Here is a 21,474-nt window from a genome sequence, read left to right on the forward strand (position 1 = left end):
AATAAAAACTATGGGTTTTCATGGCTTCTTTATTTGAAACATTGCTGTTTTTTTTAATATTTTGTTTTACAGATTTAAGGAAACTTCTTTTTTTAAAAGCTATCTATAGCTTACAGCAATTTGGTAAAGCATACTTTTATGAATAAAAACAGAAACATTTGCTTTTTCTTTCTACCTGATGATATCTCCAGAATTTGGAAACTATTTGTTAGTACTGTTATTTTTACGGCAATTTGGTTGTCTGCATAAGTTCAACAAAGAATCTGTTCTCTTTAACAGGATACAATTGGAAACAGTGGTTATATTATCAAGGCTCTGACAGGAATACCATATTTGAAAATGTTCTTAGAATGCCTAGCTTCACCTGGGCATGGTGGCTCACGCCTGTAATCCCAGCACTTTGGAGGCCAAGGCGGGTGGATCATCTGAGGTCAGGAGTTCAAGACCAGCCTGGCCAACATGGTGAAACCCTGTCTCTACTAAAAATACAATAAATTGGCCGAGTGTGGTGGCATGAGCCTGTAATACCAACTACTCAGGAGGCTGAGGCAGGACAATTGCTTGAACCCAGGAGGCGGAGGTTGCAGCGGGCCAAGACTGCGTCACTGCCCTCTAGCCTGGGTGACAGAGTAAGACACCATCTCAAAAAAACAAGAATGCCTAGCTTCAAGGATTCTCAGCTTTATAGTGAATGAGTAAAGGTTGTCACTTCCTGGCAGGCCCATGAACCTCAAGGTACTAGATACAGCAGGCAAAGTCTGATGTGTGCCTTCATTTGGCTTCCTAACATTGAGAGGTTTCTAAAATTCTAATCTGAGATTCCTTGTCAAAGTTTGCAGCAAAGCAAATTTAAAAGACGGCTATGTAGTTATTCTTGCTGCACTTTTATAAATAATCAGGCAAATTGGTCTGTGATTATCTTTTGTAGAAATGAGGGTGAATGTAGAGAAAAAAATTACGTTAAAAAAAGTTATAGTGGCCTTGTTATTAGATTGTAGCCTGGCTCATTGTTTTTGCTTTTCTTTTTTCTTTTTCTCCTTTTTTCACTAGTAGACTAGACTGGATTCTGAATTCTTCTAGTTTTCTCTAATATCTGGCTAAGACTCTCAAATAACAAAAACGGCTGTTTCTCAAGCCCTATAAGCAAAAGCTGGACAACTCGATGTAAATTTCAAGGGAGATATCTCATACCTGATACATGTGCCACATAGAGAATTCACCAGAATGCCTGATGTCACACCAGAGACAATCAAACTGCAAATCAGGATGAGAAGTTGTTGACTTCATGCTGGGGACAACTTTTCCCAAGACCATTGGAATAAGACTCCCCATCATAAGAAGACTCTTACTCCTCTTAATTATTCCTTATTTATGCCTACTTCTTTCCCTTGACTAGATAATGCTATACAGTTTCACAATCAGTAATTCCTAGAAGTAATTTGGGACTGCCGGCTTTTATTTATTTATTTACTTAGAGATGGAGTTTCACTCCCATTGCCCAGGCTAGAGTGCGGTGGTGTGATCTCGGCTCACTGCAACCTCTGCCTCCCGGGTTCAAGCAATAACCCTGTCTCAGCCTCACAAGTAGCTGGGATTATAGGCACGTACCACCACACCCAGCTAATTTTTCTATTTTTAGGAGAGTCAGGGTTTCACCATTTTGGCCAGGCTGGTCTCAAACTCCTGACCTCAAATGATCCACCCACCTTGGCCTCCCAAAGTGCTGGGATTACAAGCGTGAGTCACCATGCCTGGCCTCTGCTTTAATTTAAGATAGTCATGGGATACTAGATTACCAACTAAACAAGGAGCAATCTGTGCAATTTATCTTTCTTTCTTTCCTTTTTTTTTTTTTTTTTTTTGAGACGAGTCTCGCTCTGTCGCCCAGCCTGGAGTACAGTGGCACAATCTCGGCTCACTGCAACCTCTGCCTCCTGGGTTCAAGCAATTCTCCTGCCTCAGCCTCTCTAGTAGCTGGGATTACAGGTGCCTACCACCACGCCCAGCTAAATTTTGTATTTTAATAGAGATGGAGTTTCACCATGTTGGTTAGGCTGGTCTCAAAAACTCGTGACCTCAGCAATTCACCTCCCTCAGACTCCCAAAGTGTTGGGATTACAGGCGTGAGCCACTGCACCTGACCTCTGCTTTAATTTAAGATAGTCATGGGAGGCTAGATATCAATTAATTAAACAGGGATCCATCTGTGCAACTGATATTTCTTGTTGCACATAAATACATTGGGTATTGTAGAGCAGATTACTTTGTTAAAACATGTAGACTCCTCATCTAGTTATTTGATTTTAGTTGGTTTGGCTCATGGGAATCCTGGCTAAGGAGAAAGCTCCAAACTCTTCATGTTTTCCACCTGCTAATCACAACAGTAGTCTCCCTGGTGTACTGTATCTTCTCAAAAAGTTTTAAATGTTTCCAGAGAGCCATCTGTCAAGCATCAAATGGTATGTCTTTAGCTGGAACAACAAAAACTCAAACAAACTTATAATAATGGGGAGGACACAATAAGCTATAAACACATGCTGAGACTAGAAACTCAGAATGATGGCAACTGATAGTACTGATGACCTAAGTTTTGGTTACACTCTCACCTACATAACAACCTGACCAAAAGGGAAAACTGTCAAATAAAAATTACAGGAGGCCATTGTTTTGGACTAAGTTCTTGTACTATGTCCCAATGGACCAGACTAAAAATCAAAATGGAGTCACCCATGCTAAAGTTCCATGTCACCAAACCTAGACTAAGTCGTTACCCAACCTTGTAAGAGATCAGAAGAGAATAACAGCTAATTTCCCAAAGAGGCCAGTTTAAATCTTCCGTGGGTATAATAATGAAGTTCCTTCTACTTTAGTCCTTGCTTCTCTACAAAAAAGGTAGGCTGAAATAACCTCATGTTAACTAATTAGTTATTTTTCTATCGTTGGCCTCTCTGTCCCCAACTTACAAGAAGAGTAGCTTTGAAATGACTAATATGCTGTCTGTTCTGTGCTTCTACGTTCTTTAGCCCTTCTCTGTATATAAAGCCAGCCTCTGCTCCTCGGCTTATTGGAACACTTATTCTATTTTATGGAATGATGTCTGGCCCAATTCTAGAATCGAGAATAAAGCCAATTGAGATCTTTAAACTAAAAAATAACCTTCAAGTCTGTCCCTCCCACCACAGACCCAGGCCCAGAACTATAGGCGGGTAGAATGGTTTTGGAGGACTGACCTAGGGTGCCCTCCATAGGTTTGCTGCCCAGAGCTACCTTGGGTCTCTGCTCCCTGCATTCTGGCACAGTGCTCCTCGGCCACCCCAGTTGTGGTTCAAGAAGGCCCAAGTGCAGCTTGACTTACTACTTGGGAAGATACAGCCATAAAACTTGGTAGCATCTACATGACGCTAATTCTGCAGGCATGCAGAATGCAAGTTGTTCTCTGACCTTCCAAGAGATCCGCCTAGATTTCAAAGGATGCTGTGGACAGCCTAGAAGCCCAGACAGAGACCCGTCAAAGGGGCACAAGGAGTCCCTACTAGTGCAGTGCTGAGCAGTATAGATACCCTGGAAGGATATACAAAAAACTAATAAAAGGGGTTACACCAAGAGAGAAGGCAGTATAAGTGGGGTGGATGGGGAACAGACTGGAAGATTGGAGATTATCTTTTTATAGTATTTGATTTTTGAACCATATGTACTCAAAACTTGTTAGCTGTTGTTAAAAAAGAAAGCTGAAGTCCTTTCCTTCTTCTCACCCCAGGCAGGGAGAAAGCTGTGCTCTAGCAGAGGCTGGGTGGGGAATGAAAGGCTGAAGCTGGGGCATGAGTGTGTAGAACACTAGGGAGGCTGGATGAGTGAAGACAAATAGCAGGACCCAAAGATATACAAGCAGTTGGGAGTCAGATTTTGGGAGTCACACCAGTAAATACTATACTTGTACATCTTGCTGGTAGGAAACTGGGAGTTGCTAAAGATTCATGGGCCAGAATTTTTAGGAGGATGTACAAACTGGATTGTAACTGGGAAAAGCCCAGAGGCAGGGAGGCTAGTTAGGAGGCTACCAAAGCATACACAGTTAGGAGCTAACATGGCCTGAACTAAAAAGGAGAGATTAGAATCACAGGTCCTGGCTGGGCACGATGGCTCATGCCTATAATCCCAGCATTTTGAGAGCCCAAGGTGGGCAGATCACTTGAGGTCAGGAGTTTGAGACCAGGCTGGCCAAAATGTTGAAGCCCTGTCTCTCCTAAAAATACAAAAATTAGCTGGGCGTGGTGGCACGCACCTGTAATCGCAGCTACTCGGGAGGCTGAGACAGGAGAATTGCTTGAATCCAGGAGGTGGAGTTTGCAGTGAGCCTAGATCTCGCCACTGCACTCTAGCCCGGGTGGCAGAATGAGACTCTGTCTCAAAAAAGAAAAAAAAAAAAAAAAAAAGAATCACAGGTCCTAGAAGGCAGGTTAGGACTGAGCAGATGACTTGGTTAGGAAAAAACAGGGGCCAATGCCAACATTGGGGTGGCACAAGTAGGAGTGTGGCACCACTAGTTCTGGCAGCACAGGGAATTCCCTGTCCAGGCATTCACAGGCCCTCCTCCCACTCAGCCCTCTCCCTCTTTAGTCTAAGCACACCTCACAGCCAACTGCCTAGACCAGAAAAACGAAACAAAACAAAAACTGGACCCAATGTTTACTGTGTGTGCATGTGTGTATATTCACGTAAGACCAACATCTGATTTCATCTGTAAAATGGGAATAAAACTATCTACTTTATAGAAATATTGGGAAACTTAAGGGAAATAAAAGTATACAAAGGAGCACAATGTCTGTCTATAGTACGAAAACAAAAAATATGTTATCCTTATGTTTATGTTAAATTTAATTCACGGCCGGGCACTATGGCTCACGCCTGTAATCCCAGCACTTTGGGAGGCCAAGGCGGGAGGATCACGAGGTCAGGAGATCGAGACCATCCTGGCTAACGCGGTGAAACCCTGTCTGTACTGAAAATACAAAAAATTAGCCGGGCATAGTGGCGGGCGCCTGTAGTCCCAGCTATTCGGGAAGCTGAGGCAGGAGAATGGCGTGAACCCGGGAGGTGGAGCTTGCAGTGAGCCAAGGTCGCGCCACTGCACTCCAGGCTGGGTGACAAAGCGAGACTCCGTCTCAAAAAAAAAAAAAAAAAATTTAATCCACAACTTGTATCATCCTATAAAAGTCAGAGTAAATGTTGAAGATTTATCTATAGATATATCTATGTAGATACATATTAGGCATTTATGCATATCAAGTTTTGCCCAGTTAGGATTCCTTACAAATTTGCTTCTGTCTCAAATTTACTGGGAAGGTCATGGCGTTTCTAGCTGAAATTGTGCACAGAGAGTTGCTGCCTAGAAAACTCTGTGGACAAGAATTATTGAAATAACATGTATAAAGTACAGAGCACAGCTCCAACAGAAACAGAATAAAACAAAAAGGTAAGCTCTCAGTTTGAGAATAGCCTCTGTTCTTTTTAAATTTAAAGATGGACTGCTGCTGATAGTTCCTAACACAAATGCCATGAGCATTATTATTTTTAATGACATCTTATCAATTAGCTCCATAATGAACACACTTAAAATATGTTTTGTTTACTATACATGTTGACTTCACAAATTATCATGCTTGAAACCCTCTGTAAGCAGTTTGAATGCTTATATTAGTAATTCTGCTGGGCTTTGGTCTATCCTGTAAAAACAGTAAAGATGGCTTAGCAGATTTTTTGTTATTTTTTTTATGTTATCAACATCACTCCTTGTCATAATTACTTTCTTTACTATGAGGATGAACATCATCTGGAAAGAGTTTCTAAACCAAAATACTTGACACCTGCTGTGAGGATGGTGGTTTTCCACCTGGCTTTAGGCTTGTAGGACAATGGCTGGATAATACCATCCATCTAGCTCCTGGAAAGACTGTGGAGTGTGAATCTGAGTCAAGAAAAGGAGGGCCGGGCGCGGTGGCTCACGCCTGTAATCCCAGCACTTTGTGAGGCCGAGGCGGGCGGATCACGAGGTCAGGAGATCGAGACCATCCCGGCTAAAACGCTGAAACCCCGTCTCTACTAAAAATACAAAAAATTAGCCGGGCGTAGTGGCGGGCGCCTGTAGTCCCAGCTACTTGGGAGGCTGAGGCAGGAGAATGGCGTGAACCCGGGAGGCGGAGCTTGCAGTGAGCCGAGATCCCGCCACTGCACTCCAGCCTGGGCGACAGAGCGAGACTCCGTCTCAAAAAAAAAAAAAAGAAAGAAAAGGAGGCAGCAATTAACTTCACGTATTAATTAGTGAGTAATATGACCACACATTGTCTAGAGTATACTGTCTATGAGGCAGGGGCATGAGATACATATTTGCTCATCAAAATGCCTCATATCCAATATGCCTAAATGTTAACCACTGAAAACATAAAAAAACAGGATTGGTTTAACAGTAGACTATTATCACAATTCTAGAACTTATGACTTCCTACTGGATTTCGTTATACCATAATTGCACATACAAAATATCTTTCAAAATCAGTTTAAAATCAGTAATGACACATTTATGCTGAAATGTAAATATTTACTTGCAAAATGGGATACATATATGCCAACATATAGCCAGAAGAAATATAAAATTATTCAAGACACCAAATAAGCCTCAAAAAGTCCTTAGATCTTAAAACTCTATGTTTCATAAACATAGAGGCAGGAAGAAATGACTCCTTTACAGTTACTAGAGCAACTCTAGATTTCTAGGCCTCTGGTCAGATGACACAGCCATTTTAGCTGTGCTCTCATTTTAGCATAAAAGGGAGTTTCTCATAAACCCAGACTAACGTTTTCAAAATTCATAATTGTTCTTTCCCTATATTTGCCATTAAAACCTTGATTACAAAACAACTTCAGAGACAGGTCAAGGCTTGACAACCAGAGGCAATAGCATCATTGTTATGTAACTCCTTGCTAAGGCTAAATTGCAGGTCAAATGTGGTTCCCTTTGAGGGAAGGCTGCAATCTCACCTGCCTTTGTGAACTAGTAATCCTGTGATCTACCAGTGAGGATTAGCATTTCCTTTCTAAATGCAGTTTGGCAAAAAATTTGGTAGGTACCAAACTGAAAGCCACAGGAAGGGATAACAATTTCAGACAGGATTATAGTGGGGAAAACAGCTAGCTACTAAGGCATTACAGCAAGATATACCAAAATTAAAGACACATATACCTTTTGACTTATCTTTTAGAAATTATTCCCACAAGTACGCGAATATATCTATGCAAATATCTCCATTGTAACACTGTTTGGAAGAGTAAAAAACTGAAAACAAACTAAATGCCAATAGAGGATCTGTCTAAAAAATTAATAGACTATACACACTGATATAAAAGAATAAGGTAGATTTATATTCAAAAGAGCTCCATGATAAGCTAAAAATTGAAACAACTGAACTCATGGAGGTAGAAAATAGAGATGGTTACGAGAGGCTGGGAAGAGCTGTGGGGTGTGTGGTGGCAGGGGAGGGGCGGGGATGCTTAATTAGTACAAAAACATAGAGTGAATAGGATCTAGTATTTGATAGCACAATAGGATGATTATAGTCAACAATAATTTATTGCACATTTTATACCAACTAAAAGAGCATAACTAGAATGTTTATAACAAATGATAAATGCTTGAAGACAATGGATATCCTATCTACCCTGCTGTGATTATTTTGCATTGTATGCATGTATCAAAATATCTCATGTACCCCATAAATATACGCACCTACTATATCACTTAAAAAAAATTTTATGGGTACACAGAAGTTGAATACAGACCAGTGTGTAAATGACTGTATAAAATTTTCAAGCATATATACCCACTGGTATACTAGCCAGCAGATACGTAACACTTAAATATGCTAAGGACTGCTTTAGATGCTTTTCACATATAAACACACTTAATCTACACAACAGCATTATAGATTTTTTTTTTTTTTAGACAGAGTCTTGCACTGTTGCCCAGGCTGGAGTGCGTGGCGCTATCTCGGCTCACTGCAAGCTCCGCCTCCCAGGTTCATGCCACTCTACTGCCTCAGCCTCCCAAGTAGCTGGGACTACAGGCGCCCGCTACCACGCCCAGCTAATTCTTTTGTATTTTTAGTAGAGACGGGGTTTCACCGTGTTAGCCAGGATGGTCTTGAACGCCTGACCTCGTGACCTACCCGCCTCGGCCTCCCCAAGTGCTGGGATTACAGGCGTGAGCCACCTTGCCCGGCCTCATTATAGATATTCTTATCCCTATTTTACCAATGAAAAAGCATCTTGCCAAAAATTAAATGTCACAGGAAGTAAGGAATAGAAATGGAACTCAAACTCAGGAGTCAGGCTCCAGAGAAGATACTTTTACCTTTTAGAGGCATTAAAAATCATTCTGGGAGAGGAATTATTACGGAAGGTAAAGAGGGGAAGGTTTTCATTTTTCATATTGTGCATTTCTTCTTGAATTTACTGACATGTAGTACTTTTTTTATGAAGTAGTAACAGTGGTTAACTGGGTGGTAAACTTATTTATCATTCTCAGGTACTTCATTTTCTCTGTATTAAAAATTCTACTCCGTTACTGAATAAAGCTATGATATGTTAACAACAACAAAGAAAACTGGCTTGATTTGACCTACTTTAAATGAACAAGAAGAGAGACTAAGGCCATGTAAAAAAAATGTTCATGCAGATTCCTGTAAGATTTATCGTTAGACCACCACAGCTCATGTTATTAAGATGAATCACACATATTAGCCCATTGTGTTACATTCCTTATGGTAAAATAACACCTGGTCCCTCCTTTCAAAAAGCTCAAAGCCATTAAAACAATTTTTAAGGTCAACAATATTAAGGAGACACATAAAAGGTGGGTGGAAGGAACAATAAGATGGTTTGATTCCTCCATGTAGATATTAACCTCTCCTAAGATACTTCTGACTGGTCTACATAAATTGCTGATGCCAAGGTAAATTACGTGCACCAAAATTAAATTTAAAATTTTAAAAGGAAAATAAATGCAAAACATCATGTTGAGGTCCTTTGTCTTTTCTCTCTATTTAAATGTTTAGAGTAGTATAGTGCTAATAAAGTCAAGGTGAAATGTCCATCTTGCTTTGAAAAACCAATTATCTTGGCTAAAGAAACATCATTTCATAGTTGAACTGCAGCAGTTATCCCTGTGTTGGGGCCACAGAAGATGGAAGAAAGTGGGCAAATGCAATGGCACTAATGAAAAAAAAACCCAAAAACAAAAGAACCCTGTGCCCACAAATGTCTAATTAACATTGGATCAGCAATTGAAATAGGAATAACAGCAGCAGCAAACACTTGCACAGCATTTATACCACCCTAGTTGGTGACCACACAACCCATTTGTTTCTTTTCACTCTGAAAAGTGTCCTGGTTTACACAATAAATTAAATGGTCACTCAACTTCAAAGTGCTTTACATATATTATCATGTTTCATCCTTGAAACAACTCTACAAAGTGTGTACTATTATCTTCCTTTCACAGATGAGTTACTACTCACCTCTGCATTCACAGAAAAATATATACAATTACATTATTAGAAAGTCATAATGCAGCTCCATTATTCTGTCATATTATTCGTAGGCATATTAAAAACCATTATTTCACATTGCAACAAGTACATATTCATGCATTACATTTTTCTAAGTTAAAAAAAAAAGCTACCGTCAAAACCAGCAAGCTTTATTAAATAGAATGTAGAGCCACATTCCACCCCAACCCCTTTCTCCATCTCTCATCTGTTGCTCTGGCATATCAATATATCACCTAATGTTCTCTGTAGTGCAAAAAGTGCTTCTGAAATGATTTCTATCAGGGTACTAACAATATTTAGCATCCTTTAAATTAACACATACAAAATACAGTTAACATAGTTTAAATTAACAGTGACAACATCCACACTGTTTTTCAGCTAGCCAGACTGCTAGAGTTGGCAACAAGGGAAGGAGAGAAAATGGCTTTGTCACAAACTACCTGTGTGACTGCAAGTCACTAACTTCCAAAGACCTCTACTTTTTCACTTATAACATGACAGTAGTGGTGAAAATATCCAGTCTAGTAGCTATAGCTACTCTAAAGCAGGGCAGTTCCTCAAACTGAGTGCAGGAAATAAAGGGCTGCTTCTTCAAGAGCTCCCAGTCCAACTGGATACGCAGACCCAGAGGAATGGATTACATGAAGGGACAGTGATACAGGCACATCAAATTTGTAAAAGACATTGGCTCTTATGTAAGCTCCATGGACAGGTACTGGTACTCCTCCAAGAGCTTTCCAGGAGGATGAATGAGATATCAAGAGCATCCACTTCTATCTTCCACACTAACATCGCTCTAATCCAAGCCCACATTTCTCTCATCTGGAATATTTTGCATTGGACTCCCTGTTTCCATTCTTGCCTTCCTAGAATCCATTTTTTATGCAACTCAGAATGATCTAAAAGATGAATTGGATCACTAACTCTCCTGCTTACAATCCTCCTATCATTTCTAAATGCCCACAAAGGACAATTCAGTCTCCTTTCCAAAGCCTGCAAGGCTCCTCCTGAGCTCCCTTTTACCTCCTTTTGCATCGTACTCCTCTTGGCCCACCTGGATGCAGTCCTGTCCCTAGATCCAGCCCAGTGGCTTTCCTTATTTCCTCTAAAGGGTGCAGAGCTTGTTTTCACCTCGGGCCTTTGCACTAGTTGTTGTCTCTATCTGGAATACTTTCCTGGGCTCTTCATGTGGTTGAACCTGTCAGGTATCACTGCCCTCCCCCATTACTCTCTGTCCTCATTCCATCAAGTTCATTCTCAGAACTTAATTACATTCCTTTTCAGAAATTATCTTATTTACTTATTTGATTGCACACTATGGCTTCTTTCCCCAAAGCAGGGGCCAGGGCCCTCCTCTGTCTAGTTCACTGCAAAGTAGCCAGGACCTCGCATTGTGCCTAGAAGGTATGCAATAAATACTTGTTGACGGATCACACATACCACTCATTTCAGCTTGATTTTTTCAAAAGCTCAGCTGACAAAAACCATGTTTATAGAGGATTGTCTGAAGAAGTTGTAGTTTGTCTTTCCTCTATGGTCTAGATATTCAATCAAAAAACCCTGATTTGAATCAAGCCAGATCAGCAGAGCTACCCACTACCCACCTAAACCACATTGTCCATTGATTTTATTTATTTATTTTTAGACAGGGTCTAGCACTGTTGACAGGCTGGAGTGCAGTGGTGCAATCATGGCTCGTTGCAACCTCAAACTCCTGGGCTCAAGTGATCCTCCTGCCTCAGCCTCCTGAGTAGCTGGGACTACCTACAGGTGTGTTCCACTCCACCTGGCTAATTTAAGAAAATTTTTAGTAGAGATGAGTAGCTGAGACTACAGGTGCACACCACCACACACGCCTGGCTAATTTGAAAAATTCTGTAGTATAGATCATGTCTTGCTGTGTTGCTTAGGATGGTCGCAAACTCCTGGGCTCACGTGATCCTCCTGCCTTAGCATCCCAAAGTGCTAAGATTGATTACAGGTGTGAGCTACCACACCCAGCCTCTACTGGCTTTAGAATGTCTTTCTAAATTGTGATTTAGCCTTCTTTTACCTAGCAAGGGATGTGCTACAAAACAGCTCTATGATCTTCAGTGCTGAAAAGAGGTTAAGGATATGACACTGGCTTTCATTTATAAAGACCTCAATGATAAACTTTTCCTCTAGTTCAAATCAGAAAAAAAAAGTGCTTTTCCTGGGCATCTAAGATTGCCTTCTCTCATGAACACTAGATCACAGAGCAGACGAGGTCCTGCCTCTCAGAATGGCCTACTGGAGAAACAGGTCACTTACAGCTTGGTTAATTAATGTACTAGACTTTATCCTCCTGCATTTTGAGGATCACCCCACTTCTGACTTCCCTTTATTTTTCCTAATCTCAATGTTCTTTTTGTCTTGTTTTCTAATCCGTTTAATTTTTATATTTTCTCATTACAGTGAACTGCCTTAAATGTTTTCTAGCATAAGGCATATAAATAACGTATTAAGGGTGACAGCAGCAATATGCATAAAATAATATGGCTAGTAGGCAGAAGGTCAACTACTTCTAGGAAAGAAAAGAGGGGATTTTTGAGGTGGGTCTTGAGGAATAAGTGGAGTGTCACCTGATAGAAAAGGCAGGAAAAGGCAACCTGTGCAGATTAAGAGAGAAGGCAAAGTCCACATCAAAGGAAAGTGGAAGACAGATTAGTAAAACAACTCTGACATTAATATTTACTGAATATTAATTATTATGTGTTGGACTCAATGCAAAGCCCTTTACAACTTTTTGTGTTTAATCCTCAAAACAATCCGCTGATGTGGATTTTATTATTATCTCCGTTCAGAGACTGAAGCTGAGACAGTCTGTAAGTGGCAGGGTAGAGATTCCTGTGGCTTTTAAGGATGTGGGGGGGCACTTGACTGCAGTCATTACTTTAGAACTCATCTTCTGTCCCTATCTCCCATCTGACAAAGCCTGTTGCTCCTTTGGACATCTCAATCTCAATAAATAGAAAAGTAGCACTAACAGGCACACAGTGAAGTCAAAAACCTGGGATCATCCTAAATCCCTTCTCCCACCATCCATTCAATACCTGAAGTCCTGACATTCTACCTCACAAATTTCCCTATTTCCCTCCCACCTGTCCTCTTTGCATTCCCTCTTGGTCACAGTCCTCATTGTCTCTCACCAGGGCCACTGCAGAAGTAGCAGACACAGGACGCATAATAGTGAAGAGCAGGAACTCGGCAGGTGGTCTCCCTGCCTTTGACCCTCTATAACTACTATCTGTGCGACCTTAGGCAAGCTAACCTGTGTCTGTTTCATCTGTAAAATGGGGATAACAATTAGAATAATACCTAACAGCACTACGTAAACGTTAGTAAGTGGCGAGGAAACTTAGCTCCTCATTTTCTCTTCCTCTAATCATTCTGCACATAACAGAGACAGTGTGTATGTGTGTGTGTGTTTTTTTTTTTTTTAATGAGACACGGTCTCACTCTGTCACCCAGACTGGAGTGCACTGGCGCGATCTTGGCTCACTGCAGCCTCAACCTCCCAGGCTCAAGTGATCCTTTCTCCTCAGACTCCCAAGTCCTGGGACTACAGGTGTGTGCCACTGTGCCAGACCAATTTTTTTGTATTTGTAGACATGGGGTCTCACTATGTTTTCCAGGCTGGTCTTGAACTTCTGAGCTCAAGAGGTCCGCCTGCCTTGGCCTCCCAAAGTGTTGGGATTACAGGCGTGAGCCACTGTGCCCGGCATGTGTGTGTGTTTTAATGCCAATCTGATTAACACCACACCAGTGTTAAAACTTTTAATGGATTCCTATTGCCCTTAGAGATCTCTGGCTCATAACTTTCTAAATTCTAGCAATACTTGTCAGCTTTGAGTTCTTCCAACATCTTGGGGTCTTTATACAAGTGGCTACCAACCCAGAACACCAGTCCAATATCTATTTATTCTTCAAAAATGGGATTAACTTCGAGGAGGCTTTCTCATTTCCATTGATTGGATAAATAATCTTTGTTACATGTTCCTACAGTTCCCAACCTTGTACTTCCTTGTGGTAATATTTGTCACTCTTAAAACTCATTAGTCAATGTTTCTTTCCCTTCAGACCAAAATTTTGGAGAGGGAAAAGTTCTTGCTTGTTAGTTCTGGGTTGTAATCCCAAAGCCTAGTCCAGGAAGGATAAATATCCACTAAATAAATGAAACTGGAATGAAGCAAAGCTGAAATTCCACATGAAGTTCCTGGGTCTTTAGTAGCCTCCCACCTCCACTACTCTTTATCAGTCTGGAAATTTGGGCCTATCACTGTTCTTCCCATGGCCAGGCCCTTTAATGTGGAGACCCTGGTGGTCTTCAACTCTTAAGAAGTGGCCTCTCCACAGGCATTTACAGTTACCGGTCACCATCTCCTGAAAAACACCCAAGAGCCCTAGATATCCCCTTCCCAGATATCAAAGGACCTCCTTCCTCCCTAACCAGATACCTTGTAGGTTCTCCCTCCAGTTGCCAATCATGCCCCTTCCCCCAAAGTGTCACCTTATTTCCGCTCTCAGTCCATAGACCATCTCCCTTAGACTGTCCACAAACCCAGCCTTTGCCCCTCTAAATTCATCCCAGCTGACAACCACCCTTCCTAACACACACACATACATCTTTTATCGTCCTGATCTACCCTAGACGGTCTCATCACTATACTGGCTCCTCCTTACCCCCGTAAATCTCCCAGGTACACTTCCTGATCACCCTCCGGATACCTCATCCCTATCTATTCCTTTTATAAATAATTCCCTGCTCCTCCTTCTCACCCACAATCCACTCGCAGTTCAAGGCCTCATTGCCATCGACTCCACTGTCTGTGAGTGCTTCCCAATATGCCCCAGGACCCCTCCTGGTGTCACGCTCTGTATCCTGACACCCCTTGTAGACGAGTCCCGAAATTCCCGCCCCGTCCCTGGAGCTCCCACTCCCTCCCAGACCTCCACAAACCTTCCAGGCCCCCAGCCCTAAGCCCGGCACCACTGTCCACCCTTCGCGGCTCCTGGGTCCTCACCGCGCCCCTAGACAAACCCGGACTCCCTCTGGTCCCACCCGCCCTTGCACCGCTTCTAGCCGTCTCGGCCACCCACGTGTGTTCCCAGCCCACCGACCACGCTCCCGGCACACCCTATAGCCCCGCGCTGCCTCCGGGAGAGCGGACGGGGAAAGCCGAGGGTCTCCGAGGGGCGCTCGGGCTCTGGCGAGAGGAGGAAGGACTCAGGGAAGCAGCCGGGGAGGCCCGGGGCTCCGGGGAGAGGTCGGGAAGGCCGAAGCGCTCTGGCGAAGAGGCCGGGGAGGCCGAGGGGTTCCCGGAAGCGGGCCGGGAGGCCAGGGGTCTCAGGGGAGGCCCAGCGGGCCGTGCAGCGGGCGCGTGTGGCGGCGAGCGGGGCCTCACCGTCAGTCACGGCTCCCATGGCGTGCGCGGCGGCGGCGGCGGCGGCGGCGGCGCAAGCTGAGGCGGCGGTTGGCGGCGGCGGAGGTCAAACTCCCACAATGCAGCCGGGTAAACAGCCATGGAGGAGGAGGCGGCGGCGCCCGCGGCCGCCTGCTCCGACGCCTGAGCCGCGCCGCGCCGCGCCGCCGCCGCCGCCGCCGCCGCCGCGGGACCCGCGCTCCCCGCGCTCCCGGTACTCCCCGGGGGCGGCCGCGGCCGGCGCGAGTTGGGGCGAGGCTTGGCGGCCGGCGGCGGCCCCGGCTGCAGCCCGGGCTCCCGCCGCCCCCCTTGCAGCCCCCGCCCGGCCCACGCCCAGAGGCCGCCCCGGAGGCCGCAGCCAGCCGCCAGGTGAGCTCGCCCGGACGCCGCCAGGGCTGCGGGGGTGCGGCGGGAGCTGCGGGCCGCCCGCAGTCGGGGTCCCGGCTTCTTCCCCGGGAAGGTGACTGCGGCCCCGCCGCCCCATCCAGGGTGACGCTGCTAGGGGTGGGCTCGTTTCCCTGGGGGGTGGGGAGGGTGACGGGGACGCCCGGATCCGGCTGAGCCCAGGAGAGGCGGGACTAGGGGTACCGAGGGGGGCGCGTCGCTGGGGGTCCCCGCGAAGTTGGCGCCCACGCGCGCTGGGGCGGGTCTCGAACGCCGGCACTTGCGCGGGGCGCGGCCGGCAATCAAAAAAGGCCCCGGGTTCCAGGTCGCGCGGTTCCGGCCCCTGCGGCCGCCCCCTTCCTTCCTGGGCTCGGCGGGTGCGGGAAAAAGGGTGAAAGAGAAACTTGGCGACCTCCCGGAGGAGTTCGCGAAGCGACCAGGAGCGTGTTGCCATCGTCCTCACCCGGCACCCAATTCCACCACAGAGTCGGGATTTCGTCGGTGATCGTGATGGGGTGCTTTTATTTTTCTCTTTGATTTTCAAAAAATGTCTATGTGACTGTCCCTATCTTAAGGGGAAGTTGAAAGTGGGGGCGGGGGTGCTCAATGAGAAACGTTGCCTTGTGTGTAGTTGTTTGGAGCACACTGCAAATTATATTGGCATCTCTTTCCAAAAGTCACTTTGATTCAACTTCGATAGCTTTCTCGTAAATGGCACGTTTAGGTGGTGAGAGGTGGATGAGGAAACAGGCACCAGTGCAGCTGATTTGACCTCCAGTGGGATAGATACGATTAGCACCAGGATCGTGTCTCATTTTGAACCCAGGTTTGTTATTTTATTCAGCCATACCGTTGTTTTCCAATTTTCCTGTCCCCCAAGTAGATCTTGCATCTTCATATCCGGGATGAAGAAGTTGTGTAGGATAAACTTGGTTGTTTCACTTTCCTTACTAAATTTAGGTACATTCTCCCTGTTTTCCCCCAGTTCTTTCAAAGAGGAGAAGTTGCAGATGCAAATGTATTAAAGTGAAGTGTGTTTAACCTCTAGCAAGAAATATGTACAATTTTAGTCATATTATGTGAGACCAGTGACTTCAATAATACCATTACAGTGCTCTCAAGAATTAGTGCTCAAGAACTTGACTTTTGTCACAAAGACAAAAATTACTTTACATGAAGATTCTGAGATGTGACTTGCTCTCCCCTAAGGTATGAAGTTTCCGACTTTGAAAAAATACTGACCTAAACGCTGGCTGTAGGTGGGCATCATCAGACCCTGTTCATTTCCTTGGTTTTAGGAGACAGGGCACTCTAAGAGAAGAATTGTTTTAAATCTTAAGTACTACAGATTGTAAACTGAAATTGTCAATTGATTGGGGTTCACAATACCAAGTTGCATTTTGGTGGGGATAGTTATTGTTTAGAAAGTAATTGTCGGCCGGGCGCGGTGGCTCACGCCTGTAATCCCAGCACTTTGGGAGGCCGAGGCGGGAGGATCACGAGGTCAAGAGATCGAGACCATCCCGGCTAAAACGGTGAAACCCCGTCTCTACTAAAAAAAAATACAAAAAATTAGCCGGGCGTAGTGGCGGGCGCCTGTAGTCCCAGCTACTTGGGAGGCTGAGGCAGGAGAATGGCGTGAACCCGGGAGGCGGAGCTTGCAGTGAGCCCAGATCCCGCCACTGCACTCCAGCCTGGGCGACAGAGCGAGACTCCATCTCAAAAAAAAAAAAAAAAAAAAAAAAAAAAAAAGAAAGTAATTGTCATGTGGTGAAAAGTTTTTTTTAAGTGTTTCTTAATCTTATCATAATACTGATTTTGAAACAGTGTCAGTGATTTAAAATAATCTGTAATATTTTCATGGGAAAGTATCACTGCCCCCTGTAACTTAAATTTTCGTGAGATACTCTCTGAGTTATTCATAAATGGAGTGCTGTTCAAACATTTCTATAAGTTAATTTGATAACCTATAATTTTGTTGGATGATGCTAGAAATTTTCTGGAGTAATAAGACCAAGAGGAATTTGAAAGACTTTAAAGTTTGAGCTGTACCTGAAAATAAACATTCCTGAAAGTTATTTTATTTTTTTTTGAGACAGGACCTTCCTCTGTTGCCTAGGCTGGAGTGCAGTGGCACGATCATCAGGGCTCACTGCAGCCTGGAACTCCTGGGCTCAAGTGATCCTCCCATCTCAGCCTACCAACTAGTTGGGACTACCGGCATGTTCCATGATGCCTGGCTAAGTTTTTTATTTTTATTTTTGTAGAGACATGATCTCACTATGTTGCCCAGGCTGGTCTCAAACTGCTGGGCTCAAGCGATCCTCCCGCCTCAGCCTCCCAAAGTGCTGGGATTATGGGTTTGAGCCACTGTGTCCAGCCTGAAAGTTCTTGACTCAAGTGGTGGGAAACACATAATTTGAGCCTTTATGAACTCTAAAATCTATTTTGTCAGCTACATGATTTTACTTGCAATTGCATTGACACAGATCTATTCATTGAACATTTAAGAATTGTCTTTTCATCATATCGTATATCTCATATATATGAGAGAACATCTTTTAGTAAACTTTACAAGTGGTCTTCTTTTTACATATTAACATGTTGATGAATGTTAAAGTAGCAAAGACTCAAGCCCTTACCATACTAATGTTTCTTCTTTTCAAGACAGATCTTTATGGGCAGAAACACAGAAATGGAAGTAGCAGATTTTAAGAAAACTGATTCAGACTTTGAACTTGTATGACCTTATATTTATTGATTTATTTGAGTCATAAGATTTCTGGGTTTTTTTTTTTTTGAGAATATGAAAGACTAGTTAAGAAAATTTGTGTGTTTATTTGATATTTGCTTTCTGAAAATATAAAAAATTATGAGAGAGCTAGCTATATATGGTCTTTATTCTGGGTCTGTGAAATAATGTAAGGAATTTTGTACTATGCTTTTAGAGCAAGAGTTATCCTGGGGGTCTGTGACCCTCCAAGGGTTGGTTTCAAGGGATTCCTGAACTCCCTGTAGTTGTGACCAGAACTTTTTGTGTATGTGTATTTTTCTGGAAGAGGGTCTGTAGTTGTTTTAGAAAAGAGATCCAGGACTTAAAAAAATTAGAGACACATCTTTTTATTGAATAAAATGGAAGTTAGAATTCTTTTCTTTTCTTTCTTCTTTTTTCCTTTTTCTTTTGAAACAGGGTCTCACTTTGTTGCCCAGTCTGGAATGCAATTGCATGAAACTGGCTCACTGCATCCTTGACCTCCTGGGCTCAAGTGATCCTCCTGCCACAGCCTCCCAGAGTGCTGGGATTACAGTCATGAGCCATCACAGAATGACCATTCTAAAGAGAAAAAAACATTTTTGAAAAGTAGATCTGTGTGCTCGTTACTTGCCTTTTAAAGTTATCTTCAGGCTGGGCACAGTGGCTTATGCCTGTAATCCCAGCACTTTGAGAGGCCAAGGCGGGTGGATCATTTGAGGTAGGCCGAGGCGGGTGGATCATTTGAGGTCAGAAATTCAAGAGCAGCCTGGCCAACATGGTGAAACCCCATCTCTACCAAAAATACAAAAAAAATTATCTAGGCGTGGTGGTGTGGCCTGTAATCCCAGCTACTCAGGAGGCTGAGGCAGGAGAATCACTTGAACCCAGGAGGCTGAGGTTGCAGTGAGCCGAGATCACTACACTCTAGCCTGGGCAACAGAGTAAGACACTGAAATAAATAAATAAATAACAAACAAATAAATAAATAAAGTTGTCTTCAGACTTAGAGGTGTAAAAGCACTTCCATTTTATTCCCACAACAAAGCATTGCCTATCAGTTGATAAGCCAAGCTGGTCTGACGTGCTAGTCCTGCATGTACTGTGGCTGTGTTTTTAAAAAATTATATCTAAAAATTCAGACCAGATCGTTTGATGGTAGATAAGCAAAGATTTGATCTTGACACCAGCCGTTGGAGTAAATGGGTCTTTCAGCTCCACTCTCTTCTCTCCAGAAAATTTGAAATTTGACTCAAAGGGAATCATTGTAAGAAAATGTGTTTGTGCCTTGGCAGGACAGTAGAACATGATGGGAAAAACACAGTTTGAGTCAAAATAGACTTAAAATTCAAATTTGGTTTCCTTTATTCACTGTAGCTACTTACCCTGCTTGACTCTTCAGTTACTCATCTGGATATGGCTAACTAGTAGAGTTGTTGGGAGGCTAGCTAGAAGTTTCCCGTATAAAAGTCTTAGCTCCTCTTTGGCCCGCAAGAAGGACTTACAAGCCAGGTTTGGGGAACCATTAATAAACATCTGAGGAAACATGTATATTCATGGTATAGGATAATAAGTACATTATTTCCAAATTGGTGTGATGAAGATATTAACACTTAAAACATTGTTTTTTAAGAAAAAGATTTTCAAAAATGAGTTAGGATTGAGTGGTCCCCAAATATAGATATTTAGAGGAAAGTGGAAAATGATGGTTTATTTGGCAGAGGGGAGGACATGGATGCTGCTGGGCAGGAAGAAATGATAGCCACCCACCAGCATTATATTTCTCTCTGTGGGCAAGATTCCATTTAACATTTTCTCTTCACTTATAATCTGAATTAAAAAACTAAAATACTGCACATGTACTTTATAGTCCATCACCCCTAAAAGTGCTTCAGCACTCCTTTCGTTTTGAGACCTTCACAGGTAACCCAGGGACTTCATGGGTGGAAGTTACACTTATAACTTTAGTTGTCTAATTCTGCTGTCTTTAAAATGCCTTCACAGTTGGGTACCTGTGTTGATTTTTGTCAATAGGAAAGGGTCTGGCAGGACTGAATCATATTTTACTTTAAATGCTGAAGTAAGAGAGGGCATTATGAGTCAAAAGAAAGTGTGAGATACGTAAATAAAATACTGTATAATGCTTATGGCCATAAAAATAAACTTGCTTCTACTATTTCTATAGTCTTAACCTTTCCTGTCATTTATTCGTGGTGATCATTTATGCTTTCTGCCCTTGGGTTGGGAAATGGTTATGAACACAGCCTTTAGGCTTTGAATATGGCCTTGATTCTCATTTCCTGAGCTCTCTGGTTGTGTTCAACTTGGTCCAGTCTCCTTCTTTGAGTCTAGAGGAGATGACCATTAAATGGGATAATAAATGCAAAAAAGTTTTGCTTACTCCTAGGCTCCTAGTAAGTACTCAGAAAGTGGTAGCCATTTTGAAGACAGTTACATTCTCATCTTTAGAAGGAGATATCATACATCTTTTTCTTTTCTTTTCTTTTTGTTTTTTTTTGAGACAGAGGCTCATTGTTGCCAAGGCTGGAGTGCAGTGGCATGATCTTGGCTCACTGCAACTCCTGCCTCCCAGGGTTCAAGCTATTCTCGTGCCTCAGCCTCCCTAGTAGCTGGGATTACAGGCATGTGCCACTACGCCCAGCTCATTTTTGTATTTTTAGTAGAGATGGGGTTTCGCCATGCTGGCCAGGCTGATCCTGAGCTCCTGACCTCAGGTGATCCACCTGCCTCGGCCTCCCAAAGTGCTGGGATTACAGCTGTGAGCTACCGCACCCTGCTAGAGATACTATACATCCTTTTAAAGAGAATACCTTTATTCATCCTTATTCCCACTTAGACCTTCTGGAACCATCTTACTTTCAACTCAGAAAAGCCTTTTACATTTTCTTGTTATGATAGGCAGGTATCCCAACATCTTGATGACCTATTGGACTTCTCCATTGTTCTTAGCCAATGGGGTTGCATTCTCTATTGGCCTGGCAGGTTATATCAAAATCTTGGATATGTCAGGGGCCAAACCAACAAGCCTGCACAGGTTTGGAGCTGTGATCCATCAAACAACTGTGTGATTTTATAGCCTGGAACAGAGATCAGCAAATTTTCTGTAAAGGACCATATAGTAAATATTGTTTACTTTGCCAGCCATCCAGGTCTCTACACCTACTCAGCTCTGCCATGATAGCAGGAAAACACTCATAGATATAAATGAATGGGTATGACTGTGTTCCAAGAAATGTTGATGAACACTGACATTTGAATTTCATGCAATTTT

At 43.2% G+C, this 21,474-nt stretch overlaps 2 protein-coding genes and 1 long non-coding RNA gene across 9 annotated transcripts in view, besides 3 other annotated features; 2 read left to right on the forward strand and 1 right to left on the reverse strand.

Moving 5' to 3' along the window:
• Window positions 1-15,741, reverse strand: part of THOC7 (THO complex subunit 7) — a 30,615-nt gene extending 14,874 nt beyond the window's left edge. For 2 of the 4 annotated variants that reach the window (NM_001285387.3, NM_025075.4), the window contains exon 1: window positions 15,029-15,062. Coding sequence is in view for 1 of the 4 variants with exons in the window: in NM_025075.4 (NP_079351.2) it covers window positions 15,029-15,047 (19 nt within the window). In the remaining 3 variants the exon portion in view is untranslated. Of the gene's footprint in view, window positions 1-14,760; window positions 15,063-15,634 lie in introns of those variants that run through there. The other 2 variants (XM_006713339.4, NM_001285404.2) reach the window with 2 other exon arrangements.
• THOC7-AS1 (THOC7 antisense RNA 1) lies at window positions 11,902-13,076 on the forward strand. Its single transcript, NR_104326.1, has 2 exons — window positions 11,902-12,253; window positions 12,756-13,076. It is a non-coding gene; the product is annotated as a THOC7 antisense RNA 1 (long non-coding RNA).
• ATXN7 (ataxin 7) overlaps window positions 14,401-21,474 on the forward strand; it is a 140,319-nt gene continuing 133,245 nt past the window's right edge. Inside the window, exons 1-3 of one of the 4 annotated variants that reach the window (NR_165270.1) lie at window positions 14,401-14,452; window positions 15,756-15,945; window positions 16,155-16,256. The gene's annotated coding sequence lies outside the window, so the exon portion shown is untranslated. Of the gene's footprint in view, window positions 14,453-15,123; window positions 15,416-15,755; window positions 16,257-18,097; window positions 18,171-21,474 lie in introns of those variants that run through there. The other 3 variants (NR_165269.1, NM_001377405.1, NM_000333.4) reach the window with 3 other exon arrangements.
• Window positions 14,781-15,000: a silencer, noted in NCBI's record as "silent region_14498". NCBI's record gives its function as "represses an Ori minimal core promoter by ATAC-STARR-seq in GM12878 lymphoblastoid cells {active_cell/tissue: GM12878}" and the evidence as "EXISTENCE:reporter gene assay evidence [ECO:0000049][PMID:35858748]".
• Window positions 15,331-15,570: a silencer, noted in NCBI's record as "silent region_14499". NCBI's record gives its function as "represses an Ori minimal core promoter by ATAC-STARR-seq in GM12878 lymphoblastoid cells {active_cell/tissue: GM12878}" and the evidence as "EXISTENCE:reporter gene assay evidence [ECO:0000049][PMID:35858748]".
• Window positions 15,581-15,800: a silencer, noted in NCBI's record as "silent region_14500". NCBI's record gives its function as "represses an Ori minimal core promoter by ATAC-STARR-seq in GM12878 lymphoblastoid cells {active_cell/tissue: GM12878}" and the evidence as "EXISTENCE:reporter gene assay evidence [ECO:0000049][PMID:35858748]".

This window comes from Homo sapiens, chromosome 3 (genome assembly GCF_000001405.40).
Source record: "Homo sapiens chromosome 3, GRCh38.p14 Primary Assembly".
Classification (NCBI taxonomy): Eukaryota; Metazoa; Chordata; class Mammalia; order Primates; family Hominidae; genus Homo; species Homo sapiens.